We start from the raw sequence: 13,895 nt of genomic DNA, 5'->3' as shown, positions 1-13,895 counted from the left end.
AGTTTCAAAGTCTATGAATAGTCTGCATTAGCTTAATTTATGTGCATATAATTTTGGAGGTATGACTTTCTTATGAATAAGACAGATGCACATTTAAATCTTTAAAGACCCTAGAAATAATGTAATTATGATTTTGTTTAAATAATCAGATATGCAGTTTTTTCCTAACAGAATAATGAAAAAAAATCTGGGAAAAGACATTACTCCTCACATCCACTCTCACACACACACATCTGTTCATGTATCAGTCTGTCTTTCTATCATCTCTCTGTCTCACTCTGTGTCTGTCTCTATATCTATATATATCTATAATAGGTATACACACATATACACACATATACATACATATATTTATGTATTCTTAAATCCACAGTTTTACTCCGTGTTTATGTAGATTATGGAAATAACTACATGAATATCTTTGCTTCATTTAAAGCATTTATTTAAGATAAATATACAATAAAATTAAATCTAGTATTAAAATTTGTAACACAATTTATGAAATATATGAAATACTTGAACTTATTAATTATTTATTTGCATCAGTCCAACTTTATAAAACATTCAACTTCTGATTTTTGCTCAATAGGCTTTAATGATCCACTGAATAAAATTGTTATGACAAAGTCTGTTATGACTCAATGTCTTATTTTCCATTAATATAAAAAAGGAACAAAGTATAAAAGATATACAGCTCTAAAAAAATAATTTTGGTTTGTATTTTATTATCTGCTGATAATACTAATTTAAAACAATGATATTAGATTAAAATTTAAAATTAGCCACCTCAACACCTTAACTGAGAGAAAGGAATCTTCTAGGAGTTAACTAATTGCCTGTGTATTTTGTCTAGGTGTTGAGGGAAAGCTGAGAGAATGAAGGCTCTAAATCCCCAGTGGAAGCATGATATGGCGAAGCAGAGCTGGTGCTGAATTGTTCTCTCTGATGGCTCTATGGGAGTGGATAGCACTGAGTCTTCATTGCTGGGTTTTAGCGGTTGCTGCTGTTTCGGATCAGCATGCCACAAGCCCCTTCGACTGGCTCCTCTCTGATAAGGGACCCTTCCATCGCTCACAGGAATACACAGATTTTGTGGACAGAAGCCGGCAGGGATTTAGCACAAGATACAAGATATACAGGTATGAAGCAAAGGGAAAGCAATTACAGAAATATCATCCTTGAAGGTTGTGTATACATAAGTTTCTCTAAGGGAAAGTTTCAGACGGGAAAAAGGTATTATCAGAAGGGTTGTTATTTACCATGCACCATAGTAATGTTTTCTTGCTATTCAAAGTATTTCTTATAGATGTAATATATTATGATAAAAACAGATAATGGTGACCACTTGTCTATCACTCCCAAATTTAAGCATGCTACACTGCCTTAAAGTAAATGGCAATGTATTTGGAAGCCGAGTTTCTTATTTTAAATAGCCAAAATTTTAAAGTGAAATTTAAAAAATTGCTTTTCCTTTCTACCTTATACAATGCTATGTTACCTTTTTCAGCCTAAATGGAAATGGTATCTTCTACTAGTCACTGAGAAGTTGAGTCACCTCATCCTTTTTTACCTGAAAGGTAATTGTACGTTCAGAAGCTAAAGGAAACAGCAATGGAATAAAAACAAGTAGCAGATAAATAGGACATGATAGCAAAGATCAAAGAAATGGATGGGATAAAGATATATGATCTTTAACATCTATCAATGTTCTATGTTTAAAATCTAAATAAGTTACACAAAAAGAGTAATATATTAAATTCAACAAAGGTTGCCTGTTCACCTGATGTCCCGTGAATACATTAAGTAGAAGAGTGTACAAGTGGTTGCCTGATGGATTAGATTATATTGATCTATGCCATGAAGAACATTTTATGTGAAGCTATCACTTCAATTTGTTTATTGGTGATAGACTTTTACAATTCCTAGTTAATGGTTTAACATTTATAAAGAAGCACATTTGTTGTGTATTTTTGTGTGGCTGTATCTATGTAGATACTCCTATATAAATATTTTATTTTATGTTTTATGTGCACCAGAGGGCACTGTGCTTCATGTTTGTCTGTAGTCATTTATACAGCATTATGAGAAATTTATAAATCCTATCAGCAATGTATATTTACAGAAGACACTGAATGTCCTGAGCAAGTTCCATGAAGCACCACACAATTATTGCTTTGCCTTCTCAAAAATAAGAAATCCCTTATTCCATGCAGTCATAACACTGTCATAAGCCTAATGAAAAGATTTACTCTATTTTTTAAATAAATGAAATGACGAGGCTGGGCGTGGTGGCTCATGCCTGTAATCCTAGCACTTTGGGAGGCAGAGACGGGCGGATCACGAGGTCAAGAGATGCAGACCATCTTCCAACATGGTGAAACCCCGTCTCTACTAAAAATACAAAAATTAGCCGGGCGTGGTGGCTAGCGCCTGTAGTCCCAGCTACTGGGGAGGCTGAGGCAGGAGAAAGGCTTGAACTCGGGAGGTGGAGCTTGCAGTGAGCCGAGATCGCGCCACTACACTCCAGCCTGGGCGACAGAGCGAGCCTCCGTCTCAAAAAAAAAAAAAAAAAAAAAAAAAAAAAAAAAAATACTAAAGTTTTTCTTTCTGAAAAGTAGCAGAAATTGTCAACATTTTATGATTCTGGGTTCATTTATTTTTATGTGTGTTTATTGATTTAGCCAGTTTTTCCTCACAGATTGAGTGAAGCTACCTGATTTTAGGATTCTAAGAATGTGTTAGATTTTAGCACTCTGCAAGAGGATTTTTAACACTCTATCACACAAACTGATGCCAGAGCATGTCTCCGTGATTTATCGGCATCTCTATCTGGAGGTCTAAGGTGCTGTCTTATGTGTGATTGTTGTGGTTTAGCTTATCAGTCAATCAGCTGTGAGTAGCAAACATGGCTTGACATGTTTTTGTTTATGTTTTTTTGGGACGGAGTCTCGTTCTGCCACCAAGGCTGGAGTGCAGTGGCACGGTCTTGACACACTGCAACCTCCGCCTCCTGGGTTTAAGCGATTCTCCTGCCTCAGGCTCCCAAGTAGCTTAGATTAATAGGCGCCCGCCACCGCGCCCAGCTAATTTTTGTATTGTTGGTAGAGACGGGATTTCATGTTGGTGAGGCTGGTTTTGAACTTCTGACTTCAAGTGATCCGCCTGCCGTGGCCTCCTAAAGTGCTGGGATTACAGGCGTGAGCCACCGTGCGCGGCCAGCTTGACATGTTTTTAGAGGTGCTGGGTTGAATGAAAGAGGCATTATTTGGATCACAGATGTTAAAGGTAATGAACAAAAGTGCTCTGAGGTTTGTTTGCAAGGCGCATATATTCTGTTTGGTTTTTATGCAACTCACTTCCTGAAGACCTTCATTAGCCCTGTGCTACTTATCCTTACTATGTCTTTACCTTTGTGGCTTGAATAAACATGTAAAGATATTAAATCCATTTATAAACAATGGAGCTAGGTTACAACTTCTTATAAAACCATTTAAACATTGCAAATGATGCCACGGTTATTGATAGTTGCTATAAAATGAACAGTATAATTTATTCATTAGGGTACCTTTAGTTTTAGTAAAGCAAGTTTTGTCTTTAATATTTGTCTTCAAAAATATTTTAGAAAGTTCACTTTTCATTAATGTTTGCCATAAAAATATAGAATTTGTGAGTACTTAAAACACATAGATGGAAAATTAATGTTTTCCATATTTAAATATTTGATTTGTCATTTTAAAGATTGTAATTTCCTAAAGTGATCAGCCCAGTTCTACTAGTGCTTATTATTACTATCATCAACACATTCTAGGGGAATATTGCATTGACATTGTTTCTGAAAGGCATTAGTTAGAAATGTAAAACATATCAAACCTGTTAATATAATTAGGTCAAATCTATTTTCACTTGTCTTTCTTCATTTCATCCTCTTCTCCAGCAACATATTTTTATTTTCACTCCAAATATAGAACGGCAAGGACACAACAATCAAAAATTGCTAAAATCATAGCTAGGGCTAAGATTTTTTAAAATTGTCATCATGTTTGAAAAAGTGTGTTTTTGTCAACTAATAGAACTTACATTTATGTTTTTAAACTTGTGTATATTTAAAGTTATTTACAGAATTTGTATTTGAAACTACATTAAGACTTAAAAGATTATTAATTTGTGGATTGATCACTGAGTTGGAAGATTTGTTGCCTCATTTAAAAAAAAAAAGGCATTTCTAAAAGTGTTTTTAGTTTCAGAAAGTGAGCTATTCCTGGAGAAATTTTGTCTACTCTGCCGCATAGAACAGGGGGACACTTGGCGCCTTAGTAAGCTGGAGCCTTGTGTTTGCAGTTGTATTCTAGAAACACTATCCTCAGGCTGTAAGCCTGTCAGGATATGTATAATCTTCTCTAGGCTGTGGAAATCTTTATTCTTTTAATACATTAGAGGATCTCTAGACAAGGGACTCATTTTTAGTGGCTCAAACTTAGATGCAGTTATCTTGAACTACTGATATGAGTTCTAAGGTCAGAGGCTGGCAACTTTCATTATCATAAAATAAACATTTCACATAGGTAAATCTTCAGATATGATGACTCAAAACAAAAATTTTTTTTTTCTTTCCCTAACTTCTACCATTCTTTGGTTAACCACATGTGTAAGTGAATTATTGGGAAAATGATGTTGATTTTCTTATAATTTTTCAAAATATTATACAGACATGTCATATTATCACAACTTGATGTGCTTCTTCAGAGCACTCAAATAATGCTCCAATTTGAGAATAGGAGACAATTGAGGTGAATGTTATGACTTACTGGTCTTTTCAGTCATGTTCCTTGAAAAAAAATTATATTTAAAAAATGACTAAGGAAAGACAAGATGGTCTAAAAAGAGTTAAACCACTATATGGTCACTTCATATGTGACAGGATTATAATGAAATCATGTGTGGGAAAGAGTGAACTTTTGAATAAGTGTTTCTTTATATGGGTATCCATATGAGAAAAGCAGAAATTTAATCCTTTCTTCATAACATATATATAAGCCTATTTTATATGGAATAATGATCTCAATAGGAAAGGCAAAAATACTAAATTTCTAGAAGAAAACAGAGGAAAAAAACTTCATAATATTGGGATACATAAGAATCCATTTAAGTACAAGTTATTAAGAATTAAAATACAAGTATTTTTCATCAGGAATAAGAATTGGACAAGTATTTACTGATAAAGAGTTGTTTTTAAGAATGTACAATTTTCTATAATAAAAACTATGAGGATTCTGGTTTAAAATGTCTTTAAAGTAGCAATCCAGATAGAAATCACTTCAAACTTCCTATTAAAATACTGTATAAATTATCAGGAGGGAAAATGAAAACTCATAACAACACAGAAAATTATGGTTAATATGTAACCTTCTGCCAGAATATGAGAGGCATTGAAGTAGTTATAAGCTTCTTAAAAGTTATAAGACTAGCAAAACATATTTTAATACTTCAGATGAGCAAGCCCAAATGCCTCAACAAAGGTGGCACTTACCCTAAATACAGAAGGGAGCTGTGTCATTACCATCAGCTAACTACTCAGAAGCCCAGAGTTGGATCCTAATAGCAACTTCGCAGCTCCCTCTCTACGACAGGATCCTACCTTGAGATGTAGCCACAGAAAAATGATCTCTCTCTCTCACCATGTTTGGAATTGGCACATGGCAAGAATGATGTGGTAGGAAGATATCAAATAAGGATGCCCCATGTAATATTTGAGACACAATTAAACCAAAAAATAAAGAAGCAGAAAATATTTTTCTCTATTTAAATTTTAATTTATTTGTTTGCCATGTATTTTTATTTGCTACATTTGGCAACTCTGGAAGGGAATATACGAGTACTAATATTAATGATTACATATCTATGACAAGGAACAAGGACTTTCAGAATTAAATTACCAACAGGGAGAGGAATAGACTTTAGTGTAATTAATGTTGTTTCCCCTGGACTTTCTTGTTCAGATTGTCAGAGAAATGAATGTCAGAGTAAATTCCGCCTCAGCTATACACTGATAATTAAGCCCAAACCACTACATATCAGTGCAGTCTCCTGCAAACCAAAGAAGGATTTGGAGGCACTGATCAACACATCCTGTTTCAGCAAAATCTACATATTGATAGAGCCCTCTCTATTCCACATAACAAATAAAATAATACAGTAATATATTATACATATTATGTACATATATATATATACATGCTATAATACAACAGTAGCTTTGGACTTGCATTACATGACAGTATGAGGTTAATAGTAGGGAGACCATGCTTTTACTGAAGGGAGAAGGTAACACATTTTTCAAAATAGCTAAACGAAAGAAATAAATATCTTAAAGATTCAGTAGGAGAGATTACCTCTTCATGATCCCTTTCCCTGATATACACATACACAAACAAGCACACATGAATGCCTGGTCTCTTCAATAGATTGTAGGAAATTGTGGTATCTCTAGAAACAGAAGACCATACGGCAAGAAAAAAATAGGGTGAAAATAAAAAGGAGTTTGGAGGGTGTGATAATAGTGCAAATAAAATAAAATGTAGCCACACAAATGTCATTCACACTAAAAATTATCACACAGAGTTTAGTGAAAAATAGTAAATATTGTTTTAAAATTTCAAGGAAATGTTAAAATATAATTCTTGGAAGAGACAGTATTTAACAATAAAGAGAACTATTAAGTTTAAGTGACCCAGGTTTATAAACTCCGATGATATAAATAAATACTTAGAGATCTGAATTTGAGTAAAACCTTAGAAAAATTAAGCAGAGAGTGGAAATTCAAATTTATTAATATTTCCATTTTCAACCAGAAAAATTAAGTTTAAAATATTATTGCCAACCTTAACAACTTGTGAATGTAAAAAGCTTCATGTGTATTTTGAAAATTTCCTGCTACATATAAAGACAAACATATAAAAAGTTTAAAAATAAATGAAAATGATAGAATTATCAAACTTGAAACAAGGTGACCAGAAAAAACAAAAATATAGCAAATGTAATAAGTGTAAATATTTCCAGCTCTAAAAATAATTATCATAATCAGACTTAAAAATTTCTTTGAATGTGCTACTTTTAGCAAAGTTAACTAAGACAAAATTAGACCCAACATAAAAAGTAAAAAGATAATCGATTTTCTTTAATGCCATATATCACTATACAATGAATAGTAAATTATACATAGATCTTCCAGGAGAAATTAAAAAAACATAACTGTCACAAGAAACTTTAATCTGCTATTTTGATTTTTATGGATGAAATAGATCACACACACACACACACACACACACACACAAACCCCAAGTGTAGGGGTGTTAAGAAAAAAGATTATTTAAATATAGAATTTAGTGCAATTGTACTGATATATGGAATTTTGTGCACTAAATATGTAACATACATCTTAAATACGGTCATGCAATGTATACTCAATTTGACTTTATTCTAACCCACAAAGAAAAATTTTAACATAATAAATTAAATATATCCTTATTTTAAAAATTCTCAAAAATCTTAAGAATGCAAATTTAAAACTAGATATTAAGAATACAAATTTAAAGAAATCAATTAAACTGTTTGCTCAGAAAACTGAGAATTCAGTTTTAATAGTACTACATATTGTTTTATTTTCTAAGGATATTCAATACAATAGGAAATTCTTTCATATTCCTTCAAATTTAAGTAAAACAAAACACATAAAAATTTAAAAACATAAAATAGTGCTCTAATTATTTTAGGATGGTCTTACTTTTTTAATATATACAAATGTATACTAAAAAGCCTACAAGTATTCCACCTAAACGTTTGAGGTATCTCTTGTGTAAAGGTTTATAGGTTTTCCCTCTCACTTTTTTGTGATGAGTATGTGTAAATTTTATGATCAGGCAAAATATTAGCTGTTATTAAAAACATTAGGATGAGCTATAATTTATTTGAAAAGTCACTTAAATTATGATATACCAGGGTTATTTAAGCAAAAGTTAAAAATAGAGTTAAAATAATGAAACATACTTTCTCCTTTGAGCCTTAACACTAATTTTTAAAATAATTATAATTAAACATCTTCGTATGTGAAAGACAGACTATAACATACGTCAGAAGTGTTTTGGAATCAAATCTATATGTAGTATATATATATAGAGAGAGAGAGAGAGAGAGCTATAGGGAGAAAGAGAGACTGCAAAACGTGTGTGTGTACGTACATTTATATATATATATTTTATATATATATAGTGCAAAAGTGGTGTTTGTACATATATATCAAACAATATTTAACTTCAATCTCTTTCCCTTTTCCACACTAGAAAAGGGAAAGAGATTGGAATTATTTCTTATTTAAGAAATTAAAAAGAAATTAATACATCTTATTTCTAGTGTATAATAAGCTATTCACAAATATATATATATATATAAGATGTTCAAAAATGTTGGTTAAAAAAATTATACTATATATATATATATACTATTTTACACTATATATATAGGGTAATAGTCTGGTCTATATCTATCTATCAATCCATACTAGAAAAGGAAAAGAGATTGAAATTAAATATTATATTTTCATTATGTAATTAGTGCTTTCATGTTATCTTACTTACTCCTATAAACAGCTGTAATAATTTCCATTTTACATATTCACAAATAAAAACAAGAACATGCTGAACTTTTGTTTGCCCCTCATGTCCCTGAATTTCTCTTTCATGTATATTGCACTAAAATCACCTTCTAACTTAAATTATGAATACATGGAAGACAGAACTTTTTCATCTTTCTGTTTTATTTAATTTTATACACTTTTTCTTTTTATTTCTATCTTTCTATCTGTCTTTAATTTCCTAGAGCAAGCCAGTTGTTCACCCATCAAAGGCACTGGCTTTGCATTTGGATATGCTGGATTTAAAGATCAAGTGCATCCCAATTAAAATATTTCCTCTTGACTATAAGCAAGGAGGCATGTATTCTTTTCTGTCTTTGACAAAAACCAACTGTATTCACTCAGTTTTGTAACTTAATTTCTCAGACCTCAGTCTCCTCATTTGTAAAATTAAGGCTGAACTAGATGTCTGTAGATCCTTTGAGCTATAAAGTTCAATTTTTTGGATATCAAAAGCAAAATGGAAACATCAGAACAAATAGGTTAAAAGCATTAAAACAAAAATGTACTGTGGTTAATTCTTATATCGGCATTTATCTGCAAAAATCACTTACAATTACTTCTTCATAAATAATATCTAAGAATCGCTTATACTTTTATTTGTGTATATTGGAACATAAATTGTGTAATTACTTATCTTTCCCCCACCAATCTAATTTTTTCCTATTTCTTGTATGTTATATTGAAGAAGCTATAGTAAGAAGGAAGCTTTTTACCCTAGTTGGTTGGTTTACTATAAATCACTACACTAACTGTTAACACACTTGGTGCAATGATAAATTAAGAGGAGTATTCTAGGTAGTGATTTTAAATAATCATCAAAACACATTAATAACCAAAATAATTTGAATATATGTGTTCAACAACAATATTGCTATATCTCTAATTTTGAGATTAAACCATATAATACGTTTTAATTTTTGTTATTTAATTATAATTCACAAATGAAATATACAGTTGCCATTGGGAAAATTTCAGCCAGAAATAATATAGAAATATAAATAGTTTAGAAACTATAATCCACTGTCAGAAGAGCCAGTTCTTAATGAGAATTGTGTATAATCGTTACTATAAATTAAAAATATGGCTTTTGTAATAATTAAAACAATTTATAAGTAATAATTTTTAGTTTAATAGTGTATTCATGTTTGTTACTATTATAATGACAAAATAAACAAGATTGCTAGTTAACACAATTATTTACAGAATAGTAAACAACAATTATGATGTTTTGGCATTTAAACAAATACTTTATTTGATTATTTTTCTCTATCTAATCCCATTTTGCCAAGCACTCTAATTCTTCATTTTCATTATCTCTGCGGTCTTCTTCCAAGTGAAATTGCCAGAATTATCAGGCTTGTTCTCTTTTGTTTTCACTCTGCTGGAGCTTTTGAATTGCTAATATGTATTTTTTTAATGGGCACCATCCCAAAAATGTGAAATTGAAAATTAGAGGAAAAAAACTGGGTTTTAGCACTTTGAAGGGTTCCCTGACATTTTTCTTGAGGGTGTGTGTGTGTGTGTGTGTGTGAGTATGTGTTATGCACGTGCGTGTGTGTATGCGTGTGTATACTTAAATCAAATTTAATGAGAAAAAAGTGATTTGCATTATGATGTTTCTCACTAAGTTACAAAAGATTCTAAAATTACATTCATTATGTCCTTTCTGCTTTTATATAAAAATAAAATAGCAATGCTGACAATATTTTTTAATCGAGTTTAAATAAATTAGTCCTAATATTAAGTTATAATATTATCTCTTTCATTTTAATAAGCACTTGTGAATGAAAGTAAAAGATTAGACCCTCATTTTCAAATTGTATTTTAAAGTTAAAGCTGAAATGTGTACTATTTATGGTTTATAATAGATTTTAATTTATCCAATATCCATAATTAGACCAATCTTTATAGAAGTAGCAAGTTTTTTGGTTTTTTGAAATTATGCTGCCTATTTTTTTAATTTCCCCAAAGTAAATTTTTTAACTTCCCCATAATTTTCAATAGGAATTATAATTCCATAATCTGCCTTAGGATATAATAATTTTCCAATAAAATTCAGCCTCTAAAAGAGTCTTACACCAATTAATTGGTAATATTTGTTCATGAACTTGCTTCTCTTACTGACGTGATATGTGATAATATAAAGATGTTAAAACATGTTGGTTGAAAAAAATTACACAAAGGACGTACGTATCTTATTAAATATTCCATTCATTTATTTCTCCAAATTTCCCAGTAAACAAAGGCAATATAAAAAGCCTACTATTTTTGGCCAGGCGCGGTGGCTCACGCCTGTAATCCCAGCACCTTGGGGGGGCCAAGGCAGACAGATCACCAGGTCAGGAATTCGAGACCAGTCTGGCAAATATGGTGAAACCCCGTCTCTGCTACAAATAGATAAATCAGCTGAGCATACTGGTGCGCGCCTGTAAATCCCAGGTACTCAGGAGGCTGAGGCGGGAGAATCGCTTGAACCTGGGAGACAGAGGTTTCAGCGAGCTGAGTTCGAGCCACTGAACTCCAGGCTGGCGACAGAGCAAGACTCTGTCTCAAAAAATAAATAAATAAAAAAATAAATAAAAATAAATAAATAAAAAGCATACTATTTTTATATAAACAAACCTAGGAAATATATTAGTAAGCCATTTTATTTTAAATGTAAAAGCTAATAACTGATTATTGGTATGAAGAAAAGTTCTCTGAAATTTGAGGAAAGAGACTTTATACCAGTGAATGGTTTGTAAACTTGGGAAACAGCCTTTGTACACAAAAGAAGAAAATTGGATTTAAATAAAACACACCCCATTAAAATTCATTCCAGAGAACAAAGGGATTTTTTTTTTTTTTTTTTTTTTTTTTTTTTTTGAGACGGAGTTTTGCTCTTGTTGCCCCGGCAGGAGTGCAATGGCACAATGTCGTCCGGTCACTGCAACCTCCTCCACCTCCTGGGTTCAAACTATTCTCCTGCCTCAGCCTCCCGAGTACCTGGGATTACAGGCATGGGCCACCACCCCCCAGCTAATTTTGTACTTTTAGTAGAGACAGGTTTTCTCAATTTTGGTCAGGCTGGTCTCGAACTCCCAACCTTAGGTAATCTGCCACCCTCAGCCTACCAAAGTGCTGGGATTATAGACGGGAGCCACCTTGCCTGGCTGACTGTTCATGTTTTATAGCAAAGTTCCTGTCCACGTTCCCAATCAGGTCTGTTTATAGAAAGAATGAAGCTTGCTTAATTCAGATTAGTCATTGCAGCTGAGTTCTGATTGTTTGATACAAGTTGGGCCTTGATTGGCCAGGGTAGGTAAGTTCTGATTGGTTGGTTTCCAAGCCCCAAACTAGAAGTCGCTGTCAGATGTTTCCAACTGCTGGTGGTGGGGGATAAACCTCTCAGTTTATCTTGGCAAGGATAACAGACATTGGTTTGGCAAGCCAAATGCGGAAAGGGAGGTCCTGTGATACTTTTACAACATCTTTCTGGGAATGCAGAGTCTGTGACCCACTGCTCCCTCATGCAGGTATGGCTGCCTGGTTCTGTTTCAACTTTGAATACCCCAGTTTGCCAGAGTGTCCATTTTGTTTGCCAGTAGCAGAGATACTTTAAACTAGGGAAAGAGAATGTTTTATACTCTTCAGTTCCTTTTAAAGATTCTCAGAGTTCTTTGAATATTTTCTTTTCTTTTCTTTTCTTTTTTTTTTTTTTGAGACGGAGTCTTGCTCTGTCGCCCAGGCTAGAGTGCCCAGGCACGATCTCGGCTCACTGCAAGCTCCGCCTCCCTGGTTCACGCCATTCTCCTGCCTCAGCCTCCCGAGTAACTGGGATTACAGGCGCCCGCCACAATGCCCGGCTAATTTTTTATATTTTTAGTAGAGACTGAATATTTTCTTTTAGTCAAGATACAGAAGGCTGGACAGGCGCAGTGGCTCACGCCCATAATCCCAGCACTTTGGGAGGCCGAGTGAGGTCAGGAGTTTGATATCATTCTGGCCTATATAGTGAAACCCCATCTCTACTAAAAATACAAAATGTAGACGGGTGCAGTGGCGCACGCCCATAGTCCCAGCTACTTGGGAGGCCGAGGCAGGAGAATCACTTGAACCCGGGAGGCAGAGTTTGCAGCGAGCCGAGATTGTGCCATTGCACTCCAGCCTTGGGCAACAAAAGCGAAACTCCGTCGCCAAAAAAAAAAAAAAAAAAAAAGATACAGAGACTTCCACAATATTTGAAAGTATTTCACTATTTTATTGTTAAGGCACCTATACCTCAAACCCAAAATTACACACACACACACACACACACACACACGCACAGGCATGAAGAAAATACACACAAAGTAACCACACACATTTGAAGAAAATACACACACACACGCACAGGCATGAAGAAAATACACACAAAGTAACCACACACATTTGAAGAAAATACACACACACACGTAATCACACACACACACGTAAGTACCTTACTTGTTTTATTTAAATCCAATTTTCTTAATTTGTCTCGAAAGTATGTTACGTATTTACGTGTGTGTGATTACTTTTTGAGTATTCTCCCTTCATTTACACATAGGTGGAATCTACCTATTCTTTTCTCTTTTGAAATAGTTGAAAAGAGTCAAAGAGAATGGCCTGGGCTTTGCATATCCTTATTGTGATGGACAGTTCCCTGGCTGCTCATTTAAACAGATATTAGTAGCTAACTAATTAAACTACCTCTCTTGTCAGCCAGAAATTAACAAAGGCTTAAAAAATTAGCAAAATCTCTGTTTTGCTGTGGCCTTATTTGCTGACGGTCTTATCTTAAAGACACACACAACTATTTCCCAAAACAGAATAGAAAATTAGATTTAAATAAACATACCTCATTAAAATTCATAAAGTATTTTCTCACGAAATGTAATCTTTCAAAACTTAACCATTATATGAAAGCAAATTTTTAAAATACAACAGTAAGTTTAACACTCATTGGAATACATCTCCATGTTTATCAATTTAAAAAGTAACAGACTATAATCCTTTTTTGCAGTGATCGTTTCAGGATTTAGGGTTTTGTTTTTTTTCCCAAATAAAACAAAAGATTCTAAAGATTGAAAATGACATTAAAATGTATCTACTCAAAGTAATGATCTTTAACTCATGCTTTCTAATTCCCATTTATAGCATAACTGTCAAGTGATCATCTAACCATTCTTTAAATGTTTCAAATTAC

At 33.0% G+C, this 13,895-nt stretch overlaps 1 protein-coding gene across 14 annotated transcripts in view, besides 1 other annotated feature; it reads left to right on the top strand.

Moving 5' to 3' along the window:
• The window catches only part of BRINP3 (BMP/retinoic acid inducible neural specific 3), a 380,207-nt gene that overhangs the window by 22,071 nt on the left and 344,241 nt on the right, over positions 1-13,895 (top strand). For 13 of the 14 annotated variants that reach the window (XM_017001129.2, NM_199051.3, XM_017001127.2 and 10 more), the window contains one exon: positions 854-1,139. In XM_017001129.2, the coding sequence (XP_016856618.1) occupies positions 1,019-1,139 (121 nt within the window). In that variant the 5' untranslated portion in view covers positions 854-1,018. Of the gene's footprint in view, positions 1-853; positions 1,140-11,768; positions 12,205-13,895 lie in introns of those variants that run through there. The other variant, XM_011509475.3, reaches the window with a different exon arrangement.
• Positions 11,928-12,128: a silencer, noted in NCBI's record as "peak568 fragment used in MPRA reporter construct". NCBI's record gives its function as "represses an SCP1 promoter by STARR-seq MPRAs in K562 erythroleukemia cells {active_cell/tissue: K562}" and the evidence as "EXISTENCE:reporter gene assay evidence [ECO:0000049][PMID:32103011]".

Source organism: Homo sapiens, chromosome 1 (genome assembly GCF_000001405.40).
Source record: "Homo sapiens chromosome 1, GRCh38.p14 Primary Assembly".
Lineage (NCBI taxonomy): Eukaryota > Metazoa > Chordata > Mammalia > Primates > Hominidae > Homo > Homo sapiens.
Note: the sequence above shows the minus strand (reverse complement) of the source record. Positions and strands in the feature narration are given on the sequence as shown.